Source organism: Homo sapiens, chromosome 1 (assembly GCF_000001405.40).
Source record: "Homo sapiens chromosome 1, GRCh38.p14 Primary Assembly".
In the NCBI taxonomy this organism is placed as follows: domain Eukaryota; kingdom Metazoa; phylum Chordata; class Mammalia; order Primates; family Hominidae; genus Homo; species Homo sapiens.
In genome coordinates this window covers 17,703,745-17,727,685 of record NC_000001.11, presented here as the reverse complement: position 1 = coordinate 17,727,685, position 23,941 = coordinate 17,703,745, and the positions used below count along the sequence as shown (strand labels likewise).

Below are 23,941 nucleotides of genomic sequence, written 5' to 3'. Positions count from 1 at the left end.
AAGAAAGAAAGAAAGAAAGAAAGGAAAGAAAGAAAGAAAGAAAAGAAAGAAAGAAAGAAAGAAAAGAGAGAGAGAGAAGAAAAAGATGTGAATATGCCCAGCACAGGGCTGGAACAGAGCAGTTGCTCATCAAGAAAGACACAAAAATGGCCAGGCATGGTAACTTATGCCTATAATCCCAGCATTTTGGGAGGCTGAGGTGGGTGGATGACTTGAGTTCAGGAGTTCAAGACCAGCCTGGCCAACATAGCAAAACCCCAACTGTACTAAAAATACAAAAATTAACCAGGCCTGTTGGTACATACCTGTAATCCCAGCTACTCAGGAGGCTGAGGCATGAGAATCACTTGAACCCAGGAGGTGGAGGTTGCAGTGAGCCAAGATCGTGCCACTGCACTCCAACCTGGGTGACAGAGCGAGACTCCATCTCCAAAAAACATGGAAGACACAAAAGCATGGAAGTCCAGCTGTGGTCTTGGAGTCTAGGGACCGAGAGGGACTATTACTGCAGGGTACCCCTCAGCACTCCCAGGCCAGGGGTTGGGGACTGAGTGACCCAGCGAGGCAGAGATGCAGGTGTGCACCCTCCTTCACGCCTATTGTTTCGTCCCTGCAAATCCATAGCTGGAATCACCCCAAAAAACAATGGCAGGGGAGTTCGCGCAAAGGAGTGCCCCAAGCTGTACTAGGACAGGGCAGAGATTCCAAAGAAAGAAGCCCTAAACGCCAGGGTAGTCCGTGCAAAGTACTCATTAGGGAACTTACAGAGTGCTATGACAATCCTCTGAGGGACCGTGAGAGAAAAGGGGCATCTACTGAGGTTATGTCAGCAGCGAGGGGGTGAGGTATGGAATTTACATGAGGGCTTAAGGAGTTTGGCTAAAGGGCTGGGCCAATTTCTTTCTAGTAACCCTAGATATCTTTTGCAGTGCCTAGGAATGTTCAAGGTCCTAGTTTGGGTTCAAACGTGCTGTGAAAAAAATTGAAGCTGGCCTGGTCACAGGCCGTGGGTCAAGGCACTCTGATTTTTGGTCAGCACACAGCAAAAAAGCCGGGGACACTGGCGGATTCTACCCCTCTGCAAATCCTCTCACTGCCCCTGCCATGCCTTCTCCAGCCACTGCTGCAGGGACCAATTCTACACAGACCTCCAGCAACATCTTGCAAGGGTCACCTCACAGTGCTTGGAACTCCTTCTCTGAAGCAGCAGAGGGATTCACAGATGCACAGTCCGGACACAGGGGAGTTAACACCTGTGGGGCCACCTCTACTGGCAGGGACACAGACTGGTGGGTAAACGTTCCATCTCCCCTGGTGGACAGTTCAGAGATGCATTTCCTAAGGCTTCTCAGAATGTTCCAGCAAGAGGGAGCACTGTCCCCCACACCAAAGTCTAACTTGTAGCACTTGAATCCTCTCTTCTCTTCCCCTGGTTCCCAGAATCAAGCCCTACATAAACTACCTGTAACAAGCACTGTCTTGGGGTCTGCCTTTGGGAGGGGGACCCCAAAATGAGAGAGATACGCTCCAGGAAACGATTCTCTAGGGTGATGTGCCTTTGGTGCTGCCTGCCAGGCAGGTTTACAGGGATTCTTCTGGGGATACCCCAGGGCCCACCAACAGCCACCAACTGGCCATCTCAGGGTCAGGCCACACCACCAGCCACCAGGTGGAGAGGGGGCTGGGAGCACCATCTGCAGGTGGAGAGTGGGCCGGGAGCACCAGCTGAATGACTCCTGAAGCCCAGCTCCCTGGCAAGCTCCAGGAGAGTATCATTGCCCCAGCAGGGAAGATTCTATAAGCTTGAGGGATTAAAAAAACTTTGAGGGGCCAGGCATGGTGGCTTACGCCTGTAATCCCAGCACTTCGGGAGGCTGAGGTGGGTGGATCGTTTGAGGCCAGGAGATCAAAACCAGCCTGGCCAACATGGTGAAACGCCATCTCTACTAAAAATAAAAAAATTAGCCAGGCGTGGTGGCACAGGCTTGTAGTCCCAGCTACTTGGGAGGCTGAGGTAGGAGAATTTCTTGATCCCAGGAGGCGGAGGCTGCAGTGAGCTGAGATTGCATCTCTGCACTCCAGCCTGGGCAATAGAATGAGACTCTGTCTCAAAAACAAAAGGTGGGTTTTGAGACAAAGGGTTATTTATGCCTCAGGGAGAGAGTCAAGAGGAGCCACACCCTGAGTCCCCAGCTGCCCGCACTCCCCGGGGAATAATGGAGGCTGCTAGAGAATCCCTGGGAAATCCTGAATCCGGCTTCACCTTGAAGCTCTTCGCAGGATCAGAACTACTGCAGCCATAGCCAAGCACAAGCGGGACTGAGAAAGAGAAGGGCAAGAGGAGCTCAGGCAGGCCACGGAACCCCAGCTCTGCCACCTCCACGCTGCATGACCTCAGGCAGGTGACTCAACTCTGAGTATCCACCCCATGGGGTGTGATGAGGAGCAAATGAAGTTAGAGGTGGGAAGAGTTAGGTTGGGGCCTAGTAGATAGTGAGAGCTCAAAGAATTCAGCTAAGTCTGTATGTGGACATTGTATACTGTTACTTCTCTAGGGTCAGAGGAGGCATTATTATACCTGTTGCTCAGATACAAAGCCCAAAACCAGAGAAGATAAGGAACTTCTTCAAAACCACAAACCTGGAAACGGGTAGAGCTGGGATTCAAACCCAGGTCTGTGCGACTCCAAAGTTTATCTTCGGAACACGATGGCAGACTTTCCCTTCTCACTCAAACTGGTCCTTTTTTTTTTTTTTTTTTTTTTTTTGAGAAAGAGTTTTGCTCTTGTTGGCCAGGCTGAAGTGCAATGGCACGATCTCAGCTCACTGCAACCTCCACCTCCTGGGTTCAAGCAATTCTCCTGCCTCAGCCTCCTGAGTAGTTAGATTACAGGCATCCACTACCAGGCCCAGCCAATTTTTGTATTTTTAGTAGAGACAGGGTTTCGCCATGTTGGCCAGGCTGGTCTCGAACTCCTGGCCTCAGGTGATCCACCCACCTCAGCCTCCCAAAGTGCTGGGATTACAGGTGTGAGCCACCTTGCCCAGCCTCAAACAGGTCCTTTAAAAAGAATCCCTACAGAAAGCTTTCCTGGATTCATTAGCAAAGAGCTAAGCCCTTGTCGCCTCTTCACCTCGAACCTCATAACCCAAACTCTGGCCTCATTCCCCAAAGGACCCTGTCAGTGCTAGAAGTCTAAGAGCAGGGACCACACCTCCTATTCACGCCCCCTAATGGAGTGAGATGAGCATGAGTCGGGGAGGTTCAACCCCACGCTGCCCCTCTCACTGGCTGTGTGACGGGGGTAAGTGTCTTCACCTCTCTGAGGCTGTTTTCTCAACTATTTAAGGTGAATCATCACATAGGGCTGGTGGGAAGATCCGATGAGATGGCATATAGAGAGAGAACACAACAGTAGGTGCTCAGGATTCCACCCCGCACCTCAGACAGGAGTGGGGCTGGATGTAGGGGTGGAAGGAGGCTGGATTTCCCAGCCCCACCATGGAAGGAGCTAGCTAGCCTCCAAGGCCCCCATGCAAAATGCATCTGCTGCAAGAAGCCTCAAGGTGGATCATTCAGCAACTCCACAGGCAGAGCCAAGGTCAAGGCCAGTGGGCTGGAGATTTAGTTGCTGCAGCAGAACATTGGCCCATGAACTTCTCAGAGTGGCTCAGCCCTTTCCAGGCGCAGGCAGTTCACAGCAGCAGGGAGCAGGAAAGGGGGCTGACCCTGAACTTCTTTCCTCCTCCAGACCAGCTCTGAGCCCCCAAACCTCTCCAGCCCCGCTCTCAGCACCAACACCCCTCAAGGCCCCTGCTGGCCACGGGAGAGAATGATTGGGAGCAGAAAGTGTGGAACTGGACTGCCTAGGTTCAAAGCCCCGTCCTACCGTTCCCAACTGTGTGGCCTTGGATGAGTGATTCCCCTGTCTGTGCTTTAGTTTCTTCCACTATCAAAGAAGGTTTCACAACAAATAACTGAGCAAATCCACGTAAATCAGTTAGAATAGGGTCTGGCACCTAGCAAATGCTCAATAAATACTAGCTGTTCTTATTTGGGGTTCTAACCAAGGTTCCTCCAGAGTCTTCTTCGTGTACCACCCCACCCCCAAAAAGTTCAGAAAGCTGGGGCATTCTGTGCTAACTGCCTAGCTTCTGACACAGGCAGAAGATGTGGAAGAAATCAGGAGGTTCGTTTAAAAGCAATGGTTATTACCACAAGCCAGCTAAGGAATCCCCAGACCTCCATGAAAGCGTGGGGATCTGAGACAGAGGGAGTCTATGCTGCCAATCCCAAAGGAAGCAAGGAGACCCCAAAGTCCCTGCGTCAGCACAGCATGAGAGCAGAAGAAAAGACTGCCTGACCACCTGTGGGGTCCACGCAGAGGGCCTGACTGCCTGCCGCATTCTCACAACCCAGACAGAGAATGTTTTCTATACACAGAGAACCGTGGGACCAGAAGAGCCTGTAGGATCAGGAATGGAGAGGCACAGGCGGTGGCCAAACAGATCAAAGACTGACAACCACACCACACCAAGAACCTCATAGGTGCCAGTGCAAGATGCAGTCCAAAGGGGGAAATGTGGTGGGGGTCCCTGAGCTGACAGAGACTAGGTTTTTGCCACTTGGTCATCTCAGAGTCTTGAAATAAAAATTAAACTCAGTTCTAGAACAATAAAGAGGGTTGCATTTTTCTTACACATGGCAGTTGGCAGACTGAGATGGATACTAATGACATGTAAGCATAAAAAATCAAGATCACGGTGGTGCCAGGTTTTCCCCGCTATGAGTAACACAGCCGTGGATGGCTTTATATATCATTCAATGTCCATCTCTCCCATTATCTGAACATGAATTCCTGGAAATAAAATTTCTGGAAGTCAAAGGGTACAAAATGCTCAAGACTCTTAAAACAATGTAGAAGCTCTCACTTCCAGAAAGCTCATATTAATTTCTATGTTATCAGGCAGGAATAAACAACCTGCATCACTCCACACTCCCCAGCATCAAGAAACATGGTTTGTTGTTTGTTTGTTTGCTTTGTTTGTTTGTTTTTGAGATGGAGTTTCACTCTTGTTGCCCAGGCTGGAGTGCAATGGCATGATCACGGCTCACTGCAACCTCCGCCTCCAGGGTTCAAGCGATTCTCGTACCTCAGCCTCCCGAGTATCTGGGATTACAGGCATGCGCCACCATGCCAGGCTAATTTTTGTATTATTAGTAGAGACAAGGTTTCTCCATGTTGGTCAGGCTGGTCTCGAACTCCCAACCTCAGGTAATCCACCCACCTCAGCCTCCCAAAGTGCTGGAATTACAGGCGTGAGCCATCACACACAGCCCAAGAAACATGGTTTTATTCACCTTTGCCAATTTGAGGGGCAAAAATTAGCCTCATCTCCATTTGTATTCTTTGGTTTCCAGAGTGAGGTACAACAGTGGATTTGGGGAAAGAAGTATGAAGACTGTGTGCGCCTTGTTCAGCATATGTGTACACACAGGATTTTTGCTGTAAGAAACCCACAATGGCAAGCTGGATCTCCTCTCCAGGGAACACACCGTCCCTCAGCAGACAACGCCATCCTGTTTCCTGGCTGCTCTGATCGTCAGTTTCCTCCTCCATGAAATGGGGGGAATAATATCTCTCTCGTGGGAAGAAAGGAGTGGGTATTTATTTGTCATTTGCCTCCTTGATATTCTCTTTTCTTTTCTTTCTTCCTCCCCTTGTCCTAAATTTCTTGCCCATGCACTTTGGCCTTGAGAGTGCTTGACTGGCTTAGACCAATCAGTGTCTCCCACCTCTTCAGCCACAGTGATTGGCTCAGGAATGGGCTTGTGTCCCTAGTCTGACCAACCACAGGTCAAATCCTGAAACTGGGATTTGAGTTATTGGGTGGAATAGACCCTCTCATTTACTCACAGATGTGGAGGAGGAAGCTGCTGGTGACTCTCTTGGAGGCAGGAGGGACATGCCTGCTGTGAATGATGCTGACACTGAGGAAGCAGAGCCTAGAAATGGAGAAAAAGAAAACTCACTGGTCCTATTCATACCAATCAATGCATTGCAGCTGGATCAATCCTTGCCTGAAGCAGACACTACCTGTTTTTCAGTTATGTAAGCCAGTGAATTCTCTTTATTATTTAAGTCCTTTGAATTGGATTTTCTGACATTTGCAACTAAAACTGCAGTAATCGGGATGGGTATTAATGCAGAAAACAGGGCCCGGTTTGGCACAGAAATGTCATTTGGAAGATCACAGACTTGTGCACAGAGGGATAGAGCAGGCAAACTAAGAGCATGGGCCTCCATATCAGGCAGATCTGGGTTCAAAGCTCAGTTCCATCTGCTCTGTGCTCTGCTGTGTGAACCTGGGCAAGGGACTTTACCTCTCTGAGGCTCAGTTTGCCTAGCTGTAATTAAGGATAATAACATCTGTCTTCTCATCGTTTGTAAGAATTAAAATAAAATCCATGTAAAGCTCTTTACATTTCCTAGCCCGTAATAAATACTCAATATTTAGTAATTATTAAAGATGTTGTGACCGTAATTTTATTAAAGATGTTGTTTCCTATCTCCCATGCTTGGCTATGAGCTCCTTGGGGGTAGGGGAGGGTTTGAGTTGCCTTCTGTGTCTACCACACCGATCTGAATTATCACTTAATGGTCAACTGTGTTTTGTGTTTTGCCTCCTTGAACCCAGGAGCAAGTTCTCTAAGGACAGGAGTGAGGACACATGGCTTAGCTCTGCAGTGGGCAGATGGGCCAAGTGCCCCACACTCTCCTAGATGCATGAATCATAAGCCCTGCTGCGTCTAAGAAGCATAACACCCAGCAGGAGGCCATCACCATGCTCCAGTTTTGACCAATGAAGAAACTAAGGCCTGGTATGGGGAGGTCAAAGGCCCCAGGGTCACCGTGGCAGGTGCCAGGACCCGCGTCAGAGCCCAAGTCTGTCTGACACCAGGGTCCAGGCTCTCTACACAGGCCTGAGCTGGCATTCAAGATGGTGAGGGGCATCGGTGAGCTGGTGATTCACCCAATGGGAGAAGTGACAAAGGCAACCCCCCGAGCAGACAGGACTAAGGGTTCAGGAGCAAACATCGACTTCATTATGGTTATTGTTGGCGTGATTGATATACAGTTAGACCTCAGTTCTGGTTGCTGCAGCTTGAGAGAAAGAAATGGTGGAGCTGATGAAGAGTAAATGGCCAAGAGGATTGGTGAGGAGGAGGCCTAGGCAGGTGGGGGAGAAAAGGCTGAGGAGTCGAGGCCTCTCAGTCTGGGGTTCCGGCCTCTGGCTCCTGGGAAGCTGGACAGGAGGGTGAGGAGCCTCTGCCCCTGACTTCACATCCTCCCCTCAAGGCAGTTCCTTTAGGTCCAGTAGGAGCCCCCTCCCAACTCCCACACAGGCTGTGAGCACACAGCGGGGGCAGTGGCTAAGGGCCTAGAAAGACCTAGAATATTCCAGAAATTGATCCAAAAAGAGATACTGAGGGGGATTCCCTCACCTCGGACACCAGAAAACAGGCTTCCTGGTGACTCAGCAAAACCACTGCAGAAACTGGGTCTCCGAGAATTGTGTGGCTCACCCAAGGCCCCACAGCTGGGCAGAGAAAGCCAATTAGACTTAGAGTCCACACTCTTTCCCGGCACCAGGAGCCTCCTTCTCAGAGGACATAGGCAGCTGGGCACCCCTCTGCCCGCCCTCCCTCAAAGGCCCTGCCCAATGGGGACCAGGGCTGCCTACACTGAGTCAGGCAGTGTTTGGCACCCACATTTGTCTCTGAGGCCTGAGATGGGAAATCCTGGTCTCCTACCCTCTCTGCAAGGCCAGGGCAGGCCTGAGAGGCTTAGCATAGCCATTGGACGGATGAGGAAACTGAGGCTTATAGAGGCGCATGATATGTTCCTGTTCCCCAGCCAGCAGGAGGCTCTGTAGAAGTTAGATCCCAGGTCTGTTCCCACCTTCTGGTCCCCCCAGGCAGCTCTGAGCTTCTGCTGCAAAGCCCGAGGCTGGAGGCCCTTCCCAGCAAAGCCTGTGTCTGACAAGGTGGGGAGGGTCTGGAGCTTCCAGGCGGCGAGTTTCTCAGGATGCAGAAACACCAAGGTGAGGAAGCCAGACACTCTCTCTCCTCCGAGGAGGCTATCGGAGGCAGAGGCGACAATTTACAAGCACCTTGCGATGATGGGGGAACCATCTCTGCAGACACCCAGCACCTCTAAAAGCAATTTAACTTGACGTCCCTTCCCCTCCTCAGCCTTCCTCTCTCCCCACAACTATCGATCCCCCAGGGTCTCCTCTGTTCCTCCCAGCAACATATCCAGCCCCCGGCTCAGCCACCAACCAGCCACACCACCAGCAGCACCTTCACCTCTGCAACCCCGCCTCCTCATCTGAAACTGCAGATGACAATGGCTGCACCCCACAGGACTGTTTTTAGGGTGGCTCCTGGCACTTCGCAAACACTTGGTAATGTGGGTTTCTTTTTTTATTATTTTTTAAATTTATTTATTTATTTATTTTGTTGTTGCTTACTCTTTTTTATTTTTTTTAATTTTTTATTTCCATAGGGTTTTGGGGAACAGGTGGTATTTGGTTACATGAATAACTTCTTTAAGTAACGTTGGCTTCTTTCCTGGCCAGAAGCAGCCACAGGCTCAGGCCCTGCAGCACACCAGGCCTGTGCATCCCTCCCCTCTCCCTGTGGCTCCAGAGAGACCCTCGCTGTGCCTCTGGTACTTGTCTTCCCTCCCTGCCTTCCCAGAACCCAGGGTCACACATGTCCATTTTCTCGGGAGTCATTTCCCCCAGCCTTGTTCCCTGCTGTCCAACCAAGGCCTGGAGCAGGGCCCAGCCTGTTCTCAGAGCTCAGTGAATAACTGTCTAGCGACTGACCAACCAACAGGGAACACCAAATCCAGCAAGTTGCTGCCAAGAACCCCCTCTTCCAGGAAGACCTCCCTGACCTCCACCCGGGCCAGGTTAGGGGCTCTTCATGCAAGATTCCGTGACGCCCAGAACTGTAAAATAGTTATAAAGTGTAGGTTCTGCAGTCCAAGTCTCAGCTGTCACTGATTAGTTGTCTTTGGGCGAGTGGCATAACCTCCCTGTGCTTCCATGTCCTCACCTGTAAAATAAGAATAACAATACCAGTGCCTGCCAGAGAGCATCCTCATGAGGCGTCACGGGACACGTACAACACGCAGAATGAGACCCAATGCATTCCGAACACTCACAGGCGTGAGCGGTGTGTGTGGTCGCAGGGAGGGCGCTGTATTGTCTCATTTATTTGACTGCCTTCTGCCACCTGCCTGTGAATCCGTCAGCACCTGTAGCTGAGCCCGTCAGGTGTTGCTTCCCATCCCATTGTCGTCCCTGTGAGCCTGGCTACTGACCTCAGCCTCCCCTCCAGTGGCTGCATCTGCAACTCTTCAGCAGCCCCCACCACCACCGTGCCCACATCTTCAGGGAGCTGAGCTGTGTGGGAGTCGACACCCCAAAGCCTGGCCCTTGGCCGATGACTGACAGGCCCCCGAGTCAGGACCAACTCCAGAGTGCCCTATGGTATGAGGCTGAGGCCACTCTCTCTGGGGCTTTTCTGGAAATCACACCCTGGCTTGGCTGCTCCCACCTCCCCAGCACCTCCCCCACTTTCCCTACTCCCTTGCTCTTTCTCCTGGGAGCACCGATTGTACCCAAATCTTTATGCCCCGTTGCAGCCACCTAAGACAGTGACTAACATCTGTTCACTTCTATCTCATGCCTAGCAGTGCCCAGATATGGACTTGGACAGTGTGAACAGAGCAATGTCATCAGGAATAAGACTGAGGGAGTCAGCCTCAGCCAAGGGAGGAATCCTAAGAGGAAGAAGTGGAGGCTGAGAGCTGGTGGCCTCCCCGTTCCAGCCGCCTCACCCTAAGCATGCGCAGCCCCCTCCCTTGCCTGCACGGAGGAGCCATTTGCAGCCATAAATGTTCAATGGAGCGTGTGGTCTTTAGTGCATGGGCCTCGAGCTGCATAAACAAGGTTGTAAAATTTAAAGGCAAACCAGGCTGGGATCCCATGGGCAGCCACGCTGACATCACAGACAGAGGTGGGGCTTGCGTGGAGGAGCAGGAGGCAGCCATGGCAGCACTAAGGCTGGGACAGAAAGAAGGGGCATCTCGCCCTACCTGATGGCGGCTCACGTTTATTCGTTTTTTCGCCGTTGACCCGAATGGAAGCAGGCCCTCCGTGAGACTGTGCCACAGTTCCAGGGGTGTAGATAGATTATCTTTTCCAAAGAGAATCAATGCTCCTCTCTGCTGGTGAACCAGCGACCCAGCACGGAATTGTACATGTTGGGGATGAACCAGCAACTCAGCACGGGATTGTACATGCTGGGGATGAACCAGCAACTCAGCACGGGATTGTACATGCTGGGGCTTCAGCTTCAAGTGAACAAGATGAAGTCCTTGCCCTCCTGGAGCTTACATTCTAGAGGAAGGGAAAAAAAAACACGCAAGTAAAAAAAAAAAGTAAACCAAGAGAGTCATGATAATTTTAATACTGATCAGTGATAGAAAAATGAGATTGAGGCCAGGCATGGTGGCTCATGCCTGTAATCTCAGCACTTTGGGAGGCCGAGGCGGTCAGATCACTTGAGGCCAGGAGTTCGAGACCAGCCTGGGCAATATGGCAAAATGCTGTCTCTACTAAAAATACAAAAATTAGCCGGACGTGGTAGCACACGCATGTAATTCCAGCTATTCGGGAGTCTGAGTCAGGAGAATCGCTTGAACCCGGGAGGTGGAGGTTGCAGAGAGCCAAAATTGCACCACTGCACTCCATCCTGGGCAACAGAGCAAGATGAAAGAAAGAAAGAAAGAAAGAAAGAAAGAAAGAAAGAAAGAAAGAAAGAAAGAAAGAAAGAAGGAAGGAAGGAAGGAAGGAAGGAAGGAAGGAAGGAAGGAAGGAAGGAAGGAAGGGGAAGGGAAGGGAAGGGAAGGAAGGAAGGAAGGGAAGGAAGAGAGAAAGATGGGATTGGGAGGGAAGCCTACTTCAGATGGGAGAATCACAGTGAAATGAGACTCCAGTAACATTTGTGGGACTTCTGGCCTCCTGAGTCCTCAGGAAGGAGGCGTTGGCCACAGAGTTCTTTGCTGCTGAGCAGCGGCCAGCTACTCTATCAGCAGGCTGTTCCATCAGCAGGCCACTCCAGCCTTCTTCCCTGCCTCCCTTCACTGCAAATCAGGCAGCTGTTTACAGATCAGGCCCATCTTTTCTTTTTCTTTTTTTTTCTCTAGTGTCAGGATCTCATTCAGTCACCCAGGTCATAGTGCAGTGGCATAATCATAGCTCGCTGCAGCCTCAAACTTCCTGGGCTCAAGCAATCCTCCCACCTCAGCCTCCTGAGGAGCTGGGACTAAAGGCACATGCCACCATGCCCAGCTAATTTTTTAAATTATTTCTAGAGACAGGGTCTCAATATGTTCACCAGGCTGGTCTCGAACTCCTGGGCTCCAGTGATCCTCTTGCCTCTGCCTCTGCCTCCTGCCTCCCAAAGTGCTGGGATTATAGGCATGAGCCACTGTGTCTGACCTGGGCCCATCTTACGGAGCATCGCTGAGTTGGGAGTTCTCCTGGGAGAAGCCCAGCTTCCAGACTCCCCACATCATCACTGGTTATGCATGTGGACTCTGGAGCCACGGTCCGGGGTTCCATTCCCACCTCTGCCATTTACTATCTGTGTGCCCCTGGGCAAGACACTTCCCTTCCCTGAGCCTCATTCCCTGCACTGTCAAATGGAAATAATGACAGTACTCACCTGGGAGAATTCAGTGAGGCAGGGCACGGTGTATGCTCAGCCTGCCACAGAGCTATTGTTTTTGCTGTCATTATTCCCTCCTTCCTGTGACCAGGGACGGCTCTACCGCAACATAAGCTGATCCAGCAGGCTGGGAGAAGGGGTGAAGGCAAAGAGTGGGGGACTCAGGGGTGCCAGCTGCAAGAGTCTGGCTGAGTGAGGAAGAGAAGCACCCAGTCAAGTGGGGATGGAAGTAGCTGGCATGGTGAGGAAGGGGCTTGGGCAGAGAGGCGAGGCCCTGAGTGCTTGAGGATCAGGACAAGAATGAACGTGGAGCCAGGTGGGGGCTGCATGGCCTCATTCAAGAGATACCACAGCAGATTCTGCAGGCAGGGAGGACAGTCCCTTCCAACTCTGGGGTGCCTGTTGAAAGTTACCCCAATTTGTGAGATGAAAGAGGCAGCAAAGGGGGACAGAGGTGTCTGATAGGCCTGGGCCAAATCCTGGCTGCAGGGTCGTGTGAACTTGGCCAAAGTAACTTGCTCTCCTTAGGCCTCAATGGCATCATCTGTAAAATGGGGACAATCCTAGGATCCATCACACAGTCGTTGCGAGGACTGAGGGAGACGATGCATGAGGTCTGTGCTCACTGGGTGCAAGTTAATAACAGTCACAGTGAAGAGTCTCTGGTTTTAAGATTGGGTGAAACCAAGACTCAAAATTTTAAGATTCTAAGTGAGAAGTTTAAGCCTAAATTCTTACTAGAATGTTGGGTCTGTGAAGACAGGGGTTTGGTCTGTTTTGTTCATGGCTTTATGAACGGTACTTGGCACCCACGGCCTGGCATACAATAGGTGGGCATATGTGTGTATATTCACATGTGTATTTGGTGAGTGAGTGAATGAGTGAATGAATGAATGAATGAATTGGCAAGGCTGACCACTCTCTGTCCAGTTGCTCAAGCCGGAAATGAGGCTACCTGCACCCCGTCCCCCACTCCTCCTAAGGAGCAGGCCTCCCGGCAGCTCCCTGTCTTCCTTCCCATAATGACAGCCACCCTCGCTCACCTGGAGCCGCCACAGCTCCGTATTGGCCTCTCAACTTTCAGTCTCGCCTGTCTTCTCCTCCCATCTTAAAAATCTCATTTACAGAAAGAAAAGAAGTTCATTTACCAAATTGGGGGCATTCTGCTGCAGGGCTGAGCCATTAGCAGGCACAAAAGAAAGTCATATCTCAGTCACTTACAAAATTAACAAGGAGGAGCTTGGAGCAAGGAATCTGTCTGTGCTAGAATAAAAAGGCCTCCCAGGTACTGCAGGTCGCAGCACATCCGCCTGCTCAAGAAGTCCTGGAGTGATAAACTGGCACCTGGCAAAGTGAGGACTTTCGCAGGGGGAAGGAGGAAATGACCAGCGGTGATCATTCACAGCCCTGAACGAGGACAGAGCGGGAAGCCCACAGCAGTCACAGTCACGCTGACAGCTCCACTCTCCTCCACTCCAGGACACTTGGTACCTGAGTCCAGCCACTCCTGCCTCATTAAGCAGCCTGCACAGGGCCCTGGGAAATGACCTCATTAGGTGGCCACACTGGCTTGTGTAAATTAATTTGATAAAGATAATGAAGTTCATCAGAGCAGAGCTGACCATGTTTCCAGGAGCAACTATCCTGAGGGCTGAGCTCTGAGGACCAGGAGCCAGGAAGTGGTGAATGGGCTTTGGCAGCAGTGCCTCCGGGGCACACTGTCCCCCCAGCCCAGAAGCATTTTATCCTCGGCAGGCTGAAGGACCCAGGGAATCCATGTTGTCCTAATGGTTTCTGGAAGCAAGCGGGTCTTCAGTCTTGGCTTTGCCATGTGCTACGGGCGTCTAGTCACCTGGTTTCTGACAGCCTGTTTTCTCAGCTGTAAAATGAGCATAACAGTTCTGCCTCCCAGCACTAGTTAAGCAAGAAAACACACATAGGCCAGGTGCAGTGGCTCACGCCTATAATCCTAGCACTTTGGGAGGCTGAGGTGGGTGGATCACCTGATGTCAGGAGTTCGAGACCAGCCTGGCCAACATGGTGAAACCCCATCTCTACTAAAAATACAAAAAGTAGCCGGGCGTGGTGGTGAGCACCTGTAATCCTAGCTACCTGGGAGGCTAAGGCAGGAGAATTGCTTGAACCTAGGGGGCGGAGGTTGCAGTGAGCTGAGATCACGCCACTGCACTCCGGCCTGGGCAAAAGAGCAAGACTCCATCTCAAAAAAAAACAAAAAACAAAAAAACAGAAAACACACATAAAGCATTTGGCACCTGCCTGGAGTACATAGTGGGCCCTCAATACATCAGAGCAGTTATTTTCGTCACTGAAGTGAAACAACGGAAGCCCCCCTCTCTGAGCCTGGAGCGTCCATTTGGAAAGTGGCTCTTTTAGCTAAACCTTTCAAGCCTGGTTTTCGTAAGCTTCTCTCATGCTGCTCTGCTCCTTTTGGGGTTCAAAGCGTTGATGAATTTGGCCAAGGTCACACAGCTGGTGAGTAGCAGATGTAACATTTGAACCCAGATCTTCCGACCCCGCAGAAAGGCCCATGAACGTGCTAAGAAGGGCAGCGTGCAGATGTGTGGGCCTGCAGATAACGGGTAGAGCCAGCGCCTGTACATGTTGGATGATTCTGTTTCCTCTCTGATCCGGATTTACCAACATGGTCAGCTGCAGAGGAGATTTAAACAACCTTGAGGCCGCATTGGCCACACACAGTGGGTGGAAAGACTGTCAGCTTAGGGGTCAGGAGAGCTGGGGTTCAGGCATAGGTCAGTCACAACCAACTGTGGTACCTTAACCAAGTTGTATCCCTCTCTGAGCCTCAGTTTCCCCCATCTGTAAAAGAGAAGGAAGGTTTCTGGCCCTGAACAGCTCCCAGCCTGATTCCTTCCACAGATTCTCCTCTGAGCCACCTGGTCTTTGGGTTGGAGTACCTGAAATTTGTCACCATGCATCCTGCATCCTGGCACGGTGTCATCCCATGGGGCTGAGTTCATTGGAGCCATCTGCATTCCATCTCCTCAGAGAGCAGCCAGAAGACCTAAGGGTAGACATCAGGGGTTCCCTGATTCTAAACAGTCTAGTATTGCAGGGATGAAGGATCCTGAAACTGAAGTTCTCCTTGGGATGTAAAATCCAAGGAGAGCTGGGGTGACAACTGCTGCTCAGCAAGGAAGAATAACAATGAGAGTGCAAAGCATTTGTTTCCCTTGCTGTAAATGAAAGTGATGAATTGGGTGTCTAATTAGCAAAATATTCGATAATTGGTGTAATCTGGTACTATTCCCTTTCTGACAGCCTCTGCCGTGTTGTCCCATTTCAAGCTTGAGCTGCCGGTAATATCGGGCAGATAATTGTAATACTGAAAATGAAAAATCAAATCAGAGTCATCGGAGGCTCCCATTAAATTGATTTAGGACTGGAAAAATTAATGGGATTCCCTTTCCTCCCCCCTTCTCCCCCGCCCAGTCTCTGCTTCATTCTATCCCAGAGCAGGGACACCGCACCTTGAGAGGGAATCGGGGGCATCCTGAACCGCAGATCCCACCTCAATGGGTTTCTGCCTCTCAGCCTCTGACCTGCCACCATCTTACCCTGAAAAACAGTCAGGAGGCACCTCCCTGGAAGGCAGCGGTGAGTGTTTGGTAAGAGGAAAGAGGAAAGCACCCAACACTGGGGCCTATGACAGAGCACGTGTACATTTTCTTTCCTTCCCCATGAAAACTGAGCCTCTGAGACAGAGAACAGCACAGCCCGTGCTATTTCTAGCTAGATAAGGAGAAGAACAGAATTGGCATGAAATGGATCCCATCAGTTGCAGTGACAGAAATCAACTCAAACTAACTTAAGGAAAAAAGAACATTTATTGGCTCATGAAACTGGGAAGTCCTGAGGGAGAACTGGCCCAGAGACGCAAAGAGCCCAAAGGTGTCACCACCACTGCTCGGTCCCTGTTTTGGCCCCCTTCCCTCTCATGTGGCTGGGACTGCTCCATACTGAGCAGAGGTGGGAATGGAGTGGGGGACATGACCACACCAATTCAGGGTTTACATCTTCCCAACTTAGCAATCCCAGAAAAATCTGAGTTCTTCTCCCAACAAGCATCAACATGTGAAAGCCAGAGAAGGGCCCTGATTGGTTCCTTTTGGGCCACATGCCCATCTCTGGACCAATCACTATTGCCAGGGGTGAGTCATTTTACTGATCAGGCCTGGGTCCCACATCCACTCCTGTGGGGGAAGGGACAGTGTATGTTTTTTATTGGCATCCCCACCAGGTTAGCAGGTGAGGGGGGATTTCAAAAGGATGCTTTTACTACCAAAAGAGGAGAGATGAGGTCACACAGAACAAACCACCCCAAAACTGAGCATCTTAAAACAGCAAGCTTTGTAATGATCTCATGAGTCTGTGCTCAGCTGGGCAGTTCTTCTGCTCGACAAGATGGCGTCTGGCCACTTGAACAGGCAGCAGTGTCTGAGATGACTCCCCAGTGTGTGCTGCCTGGGTGAGGCCAACTGGGGGTGCCAGGCCTCTCTCTCAGGTCCTCTATGTCTCCATGAGTATGCCCACATGATTTCTCCATCAGGGTACCTAGACTTCTTTTGGGATCAGGGTTCCTAAAAGCATGAAAGCAGAAGCTGCCAGGCCCAGAACTGGCACAGCACTCCTTCCATCATATTCCACAGTTCAAGCAAAGACCAACTCAGATTCAAGGGGAAGGAAAATAAACTCCACTTCGCAATGTGGGGAAGTGGCAAAGAACCTTCCAACCACATTTAACTTACCCTGGGAGGGTTGGGCACATCAAGAAGCACCTATGGAGGTCCTGCTTGGGGCCAGGCCTTGTAGTGGGGGCTGGGGCTGAAGTTCCTTCCCTCAAAGGACACAGGATCTCTTAAAGGACACAGGATGTTCTCATAACGAGCTGCCCCACCACCCTGCCACATTGCCATGGAAACCTGGAGGTTCAGGGGCTCCTACTGTTCCTGCCTTCCTTGTACCTGAGGCAATCCAGTGAAACAGAAGAAGAGAAGTCCTTTCTCTGGAAAAGAAGGGAGGTTCAGGAGGTTCTGAGGAAGGCATGGAGGCCACCACACCCATGGCTCCTGGGACTGCCAGAGGTTGGGTTTCTTACTCTCCTAAATCAAGACAGTAAAGTTCTGGAACCAAATCAACCTGTGTTTGAGTCTAGGGCCTCCAAAGACCAGTCACATGGCCTTGGATAGGTCACTTTGGGTCTCTGAACCTCAGTTTGCTGATCTCTAAAATGGATTTGAAAGCAGCACACATCTAAGTCTCTGAGGAGACAATGGGCTGACAGAGCAGGCGCGTCACCGTGTTTGACAAACACCACTATTTTAAGTTCACCTTGATTTAAAAACTGCCCAAATCCGGCCCCAAAACATCAGCCTAATAGCTAATGTCAGCATAACCAGAAACATTCCAATCCTAAGATAAACTCTCCTCCAACGAGAAACACACCAACCCCAAGATGGCCTCCGCTCCAACCAGAGACATTCCAACATCTCAATCAACTTTCCCCCACATAGAAACATTCTGAGCCTGCACTAAGCTCTCCCCTTCCTAAACCCTTAAATGTCCTTAGACTGTAAGAGAGAATGCCCCTGACCAAAATCGGCCAGAAGCCCCTCTCAGATTTACTCTCCAAAATAAAGCTGTCTTTGACTGTTGAGCTGCTTTTTGTGTTTCTTTCCTCTTTCTTTAACTGTTACACTAACATTCCTGAAGACTCTGGTGCAGTGCCTGGCACATAGTAGGTGCTGAACAACCAGGGCCTATTAGAACAGGTGCCACCATACCCCGTCTACACCTGTCTGCAGTTCTGAGGTCTGTGCTGGGCAGCTGAGGATGCCCTGTGCTGTGGTTTCATCTCAGCTTCTTTAGCTCCTTTGCACCCAGCTGCCCAAAGCTCCCCTTTCCCCCTGGTCCAGAGTTACACAGGAAAGAGCTGACCCCGGGGTCCCTCCCTGCTCTAACCATCCTTTGGGGACCACCCACCCCTCTGAGCTCCTCCATCCCTGCCTGTGCAGTTCAGGCCAGCTAAGAAGGGTAGACTTAACACACTTATTTTGTTTTACACACTTTGAGTTTGGGCCTCTTGAACCTCACACCCAGAGAAACATGCAAATAGGATGTAAATAGGCCCTCTGGTGTATGCAAAACAGTCTATAAATGCATGGCCTCAGAAAGGAAAAATGAAGCAAAACAACAAAAGATAAATAAATGAAATAAATGCACGGCCCTGGATTTGCCAAAGAAAAAATGCCTGGTCATCCAATTTAGCATAAATAACAGGAGAAGAAGACTGTATCTCCTCCTTAGAGTTAGGTTCAGACCAGAAAGAACTCACAACACCTTCTGGAAGGGAGCTGAGGGATCCCTGGCCACCCTGGGTCACAGCACTCCCCTGACAGCCCAGTTCCTGAAGCCACAAGCCCCCAGCCCTGGGTTTGAGAACAGAGTCCAGCCTCACAATGGTGCCCAATTCCCCTGCAGCTGAGCACCTGGATCTCTCCACCTTCCAGATGGGGTCCTCGCAGAGGATGGTCCCCAGCCCCAGGCTCAGTCCCATCATACCAGCCCCACCCACACACAACCATACACTCACAACAGGTCAGGCCCACCATTAATGTTATTACCATTAAAAATAGTTGCTGTTCTTTGGGAGGCCGAGACGGGCGGATCCTGAGGTCAGGAGCTCGAGACCATCCTGGCTAACACGGTGAAACCCCGTCTCTACTAAAAATACAAAAAATTAGCTGGGCGTGGTGGTGGGCACCTGTAATCCCAGCTACTTGGGAGACTGAGGCAGGAGAATGGCGTGAACCCAGGAGGCAGAGCTTGCAGTGAGTGGAGATTGCACCACTGCACTCCAGCCTGGGCAACAGAGCGAGACTCCATCTCAAATACATACGTAAATAAATAAATAAATAAATAAATATAAAAAAATAGTTGCCGTTGATGGCACACCTCCCCTTCACCAGGCCCTGTGCTAAGCACTGTGTACACATCATCTCCTCTAATCCCAGCAGCAGCCCAGGATAAGTCCTGTTACCACCATCTTACAGAGGGGGAAACTGAGGCCAGTAGAGGGTAGAGCCCCAGGAGTGGAGCCAAGTGGGAGACTCCACATCTGTGAGGCCCCAAAGCCACCAGCATTCTCTTCCCTGAACTCTTTTTTTTTCATTATTTTTTTTCTTTCTTTCTTTCTTTGTTTTTTTTTATTTGTTTGTTTGTTTGTTTTGAGACAGGATTTCACTTTGTCTCCCAGACTGGAGTGCAGTGGCACCATCACAACTCACTGCAGTCTTAACCTCCTGGGCCCAGGTGATCCTCCAATCTCAGCGTCCGAGTAGCTGCACCACAGGCATGTGCCACCACCCCCAGCTAACTTTTTCATTTTGTATAGAGACAACGGTCTCCCTGTGTTGGCCAGGCTGGTCTCAAACTCCTGGGCTCAAGCAGTCCTCCCACCTCGGCCTCCCAAAGTGCTGGGATTACAAGTGTGAGCCACTGTGCCCAACCAAACTTTTTCTTTTCAAGCCTGTCTCACCTATGAAGCTAGAGGCTCAGATCCAGGAGGGTAGGGCTGTGTCTGTCCTCCACTGCCCAGGTGCCAGAGCCCAGCCCAGAGCCCGGCACACAGTGGCCAGCAGTAGACATTTGCTGAATGAATAGGTAGCACTTACCCAAAGCCAACTGGGTTTTCTGCAAATTCGCACCACCCACTCTCTAGACCACTGTATGGGCCATGATGGGATATGTATTTGACAGTACACTGCCTACTACAGTTTGTCCTTGTTTTCTAAAAATGCTTCGTGAGTGGCATCAGTGTTTGTATGCCCTAAGCCAGCAGAATGGAAAGAAGTTTCTACACAGACAGCGGGGCTTTCCAGCAAGCTTAAGGGGGACTGTGCCACTCTTAAGAAGGTGCTAAGGGCTGCTGGGCATGGTGGCTCATGCCTGTAATCCCAGCACTTTGGGAAGTCGAGGCAGGAGGATCACTTGAGATCAGAAGTTTGAGACCAGCCTGGCCAATATGGTGAAACCCCGACTCTATTAAAAATACAAAAATCAGCCCGGCATGGTGGTGGGTGCCTGTAATCCCAGCCACTCAGGAGGCTGAGGCAGGAGAATCGCTTGAACCCAGGAGGCAGAGGTTGCAGTGAGCCAGGATCACGCCACTGCACTCCAGCCTGGGCAACAGAGTGAGACTGTCAGGAAAAAAAAAAAAAAGAAGGTACTGAGGGCTCAGCAAGATGCCTATGCCTGGGTGTGTGACCCTCCAAAGAGGGGCCTCTCAGAACACAGGTAGACACCTGGCAGACCCTGCGCAAGACGGTGATAATCAAGTTAACGAGGGCCCACTAGAGGCCGGGAGCTGAGTATTTTACATGAGTCAATTCATTTCATCCTTGAAACAGCCCCTGCAGTGAATGCTGTGAAAAGCCCCATGTTCTGGAAGAGGAAACTGAGGCCCAGGGTTTGCAAGCATTCTGCAGCTTGTATTGACACGTCACCTGTTCTCACACAAGGTCCTCACACAGCAAAGTGTTGGAGGGTTGGGGGTTGCTGGGAAACAGGCTTTGTTTTCTGACTGAGGATAGGGGCAGCAGTCGGGGCACGGTTAAAGCTATGGTATTGAGTCCATAGCCCTGGGTCCGCTTCTGTTCTGTGTGACCCCGGGCAAGTGACTTCACCTCCCTGACCTCCGTTTCCTCTGTAAGGTGGGGACAATAATAGCACCTCCCCCTGGGCGTGGTTGTGAAGACTCCTGTCATGGAAGGTGGAATGCACGCATCCCAGTACCGGAACCCAGCGAGAGTGCAGCACATCTGGACAGGATTGGATTCACAGAGGATCACCCAGCAAACCGGTGACAGAGCCAGAACTCAAACCCAGGTCTCCCAAATCCAGGACCCTCTGGAACCTACAAGCCCGGCACCTGGAAGGGCCCACGATGCAGAGGGGGAGCCTCAGTTCCCTGCCTCAGGCGGAGAGCCCAGAATGACCGCCACTCACCAGGAAAGGTTTTGTGGTTTCTGTGGAGATTAAGAGTTGACAAGAAATAGCTCGGGTAATTATATTAATTTTCCTCAATTTACACATTCTTGCTACTTGCCATTTCCCCAGGAACGTGTAAATGAGGAGTTTAGAGTGGTTGGCAATGCCGTAATTAGGTCTGCATTGTTAAAAAGTGTCTGCTGCGTGTCTTATTATTGGGTCTCTTTCACGGTTGGGCGACCTGTCTCCCATTCAGACTGGGAGCTCACCAAGGGCACGGGTTTATCTTCCACTTCAGCCCGGGGATCGGATTGGAGCATCCTCTGAGGACAGGGAAATATCTCCCCCAGCAGCTTAGAGTCTCCCCCTGGGCAGAAATTAGATCTTCCCCCATGGGAGAGCAGGGTCAGGGCTCCCTAGCAGACTTTTGGCTTCCCCATCAAACCCGGTGATAGGAGCTATGCGTCCTCCAGCAGCCTGGGAGCTCCCTAAGAACAAGGCCATCTCCCCCAGCAGGTGGGGAACATCCCGGGTCAGTGGCTCAGTATCACCCATCAGAGCGGTAGGACTGTGAAGACTAAAGTTCAGACCTCATCCTCCTGCGACCACCCCACCACCCCATGGCCTCCTGCATGAACACACAGGCTCGTGCTTTGGAGTCTAAAGAAAGCAGGCATTGAGGCTGGAAGCGGTGGCTCATGTAATCCCAGCATGGTGGGAGGCTGAGGTGGCAGATTGCTTGAGCCCAGGAGTTCAAGATTGGCCTGACCAACATGGCGAGATCCCGTCTCAACAAAAGATTGGAAAAACTAGCCAGGCATGGTGGCATGTGCCTGTGGTCCCAGCTACTCAGGAGGCTGAGGCAGGAGGATCTTTTGGGCTTGAGCAACACAGCAAGACACTGTCTCAAAAAAAAAAAAAAAAAAGCAGGCACTGGGCCCTTCAGAAGGCATGCTTCAGAGGCTCCATTACCCCCAGGGAACCACAGGGAAGCTCCTGGGCTGTGTGTGTATCCTGGGCTTTCACAGGGCTGGAGCCAGCTGGGGGGCCACACAGAACAAATTGGTGGCAGGAGGGCCAGTTCCACTCTGAAAGGGCAACAGACCTGTGGCCAGGAGCCTGACATGGCTCTGGCCCCAGGGAGTGATGGCTGGGGTCTCCTCCTGAGCCCAGGTTTAGAAACAGATCACACCAGCTTGGACTGAAACACAGCCTCAAGCCCCAGCCTCAGCCCTCCCAGGACCAGATCTCCCCAGGACCTCTTCAGTCCTCCCTCCCCCAGCCCCAGCTCTAGCCCCAGCCCCAGCTCATGGCCCAGCCCCAGCCCCAGCCCTCCCCAGGGCCTCCCTCAGTCCTCCTTCCCTCACCCCCAAGCCTGTGAGCACTCCTGCAGGCCACTGCATCCACCGAGGCTTCATTTCATCTGTCTCCCTTTCTGGTTAATTTTGAGGATTCCCAGAGATAATGCTTGTAGAAGCAGCGGCAGGGCCTGGAGACACACTACAAACCGCTCACACCTGAGGCCCCCTAGGTGCTCACAGCTACCCCTTAAGGAAGCCCTCAAAAGCCCATTTGTTCAGCTGAGGACACAGAAGCCCAGGAGGTAGCACTCGTCTAAGGCCACACAGTCAATATGTAACAGAGCCAAGATCCAAACTCAAATCTGCTCCAACACCTACATCTGCTGTGCCACACCTCCCTGCCTCCAGGAAGCCTTCCTTGGTTGACTCTCCTTGGCGCCAGCATCCTGCCTATTGGACTACATGTTCAGAGAGGACAGGGACACTCTTACATCCTCAGTACCTCTAGCCTAATGTCAGGTACAGCAAAGGTGCTTAGTTGTGTAGTGGGGGTGATTTGGTGGAGACATAGCCTGAAGTTTATTTTTATCCTTTATTGTATGAGTCCTTTCTCACAGTGCTATAAAGAAATTCCTGAGACTGGGTAATTTATAAATAAAGGAGGTTTGATTGACTTACAATTCCCCATGGCTGGGGAGGCCTCAGGAAACTTACAATCATGGTGGAAGGGGAAGCAGACGCCTTCTTCCAAGGCAGTAGGGAGCATCTGAGAGCAGGGGGGCCGGGCGCGGTGGCTCATGCCTGTAATCCCAGCACTTTGGGAGGCTGAGGCGTGTAGGTCACAAGGTCAGGAGATCGAGACCATCCTGGCTAACACGGTGAAACCCCGTCTCTACTAAAAATACAAAAAAATTAGCCGGGCGTGGTGGTGGGCACCTGTGGTCCCAGCTACTCAGGAAGCTGAGGCAAGAGAATGGCATGAACCCTGGAGGCAGAGCCTGCAGTAAGCCGAGATCACACCACTGCACTCCAGCCTGGGCAACAGAGAGAAACTCCGTCTCAAAAAAAAAAAAAAAAAAAGGGCAGGGAAAGCTGATCTCGAGAACCATCAGATCTCATGAGAACTCACTATCACGAGAACAGCATGGGGCAAACTGCCCCCATAATCCAATCACTTCCCACCAGGTCTCTCCCTAAACACTTGGGATTACAACTCAAGATAAGATTTGGGTGAGGACACAAAGCCTAACCGTATCACTTAGAAATCTTGATGAGTTGATGTTTCCCCACCTCCACCTCACTGAGTCGGTGCCATTTATTACATGTTGTGCGGTGGGGGGTAGGAAGAGTGTTATGGCCTTAACATTTGTGTCCCCTCAAAGTTCATGTGTTGATGTTCTAAACCCCAATGTGATGATATTTGGAGGTGGGGCCATTGGGAGTTGATTATGTCATGAGGGTAGAGCCCCCATGATGGGGTTCACACCTTTATAAAAAGAAGAAAGAGGCCGGGCATGGTGGCTTACACCTGTAATCCCAGCACCAGCACTTTAGGAGGCCGAGGTGGGCGGCTCACCTCAGGTCAGGAGTTTGAGACCAGCCTGACCAACATGGTAAAACCCTGTCTCTACTAAAAATACAAAAATTAAGCAGGTGTGGTGGTGCGCACCTGTGATCCCAGCTACTCAGGAGGCTGAGACAGAAGAATTGCTTGAACCCAAGAGGCAGAGGTTGCAGTGAGCCGGGTTCGCACCACTGCACTCCAGCCTGGGTGACAGAGCAAGACTCCGTCTCAAAAAAAAAAA

At 51.1% G+C, this 23,941-nt stretch overlaps 1 long non-coding RNA gene across 5 annotated transcripts; it reads right to left on the bottom strand.

Annotated features, from left to right (window-relative positions):
* Positions 1-5,338: 5,338 nt before the first annotated feature.
* LINC02810 (long intergenic non-protein coding RNA 2810) lies at positions 5,339-10,490 on the bottom strand. Of its 5 annotated transcripts, XR_007065511.1 has the most exons (4): positions 9,236-9,551; positions 8,895-9,126; positions 5,918-6,006; positions 5,339-5,643 (listed from the first exon to the last, which is right to left on the bottom strand). It is a non-coding gene; the product is annotated as a long intergenic non-protein coding RNA 2810 (long non-coding RNA). The 5 variants fall into 5 exon arrangements; XR_007065510.1 differs by lacking the exon at positions 9,236-9,551 and adding an exon at positions 9,914-10,113 and having other exon boundaries at positions 5,339-6,006; XR_002958658.2 differs by having other exon boundaries at positions 5,339-6,006.
* Between the last annotated feature and the right edge of the window lie 13,451 nt (positions 10,491-23,941).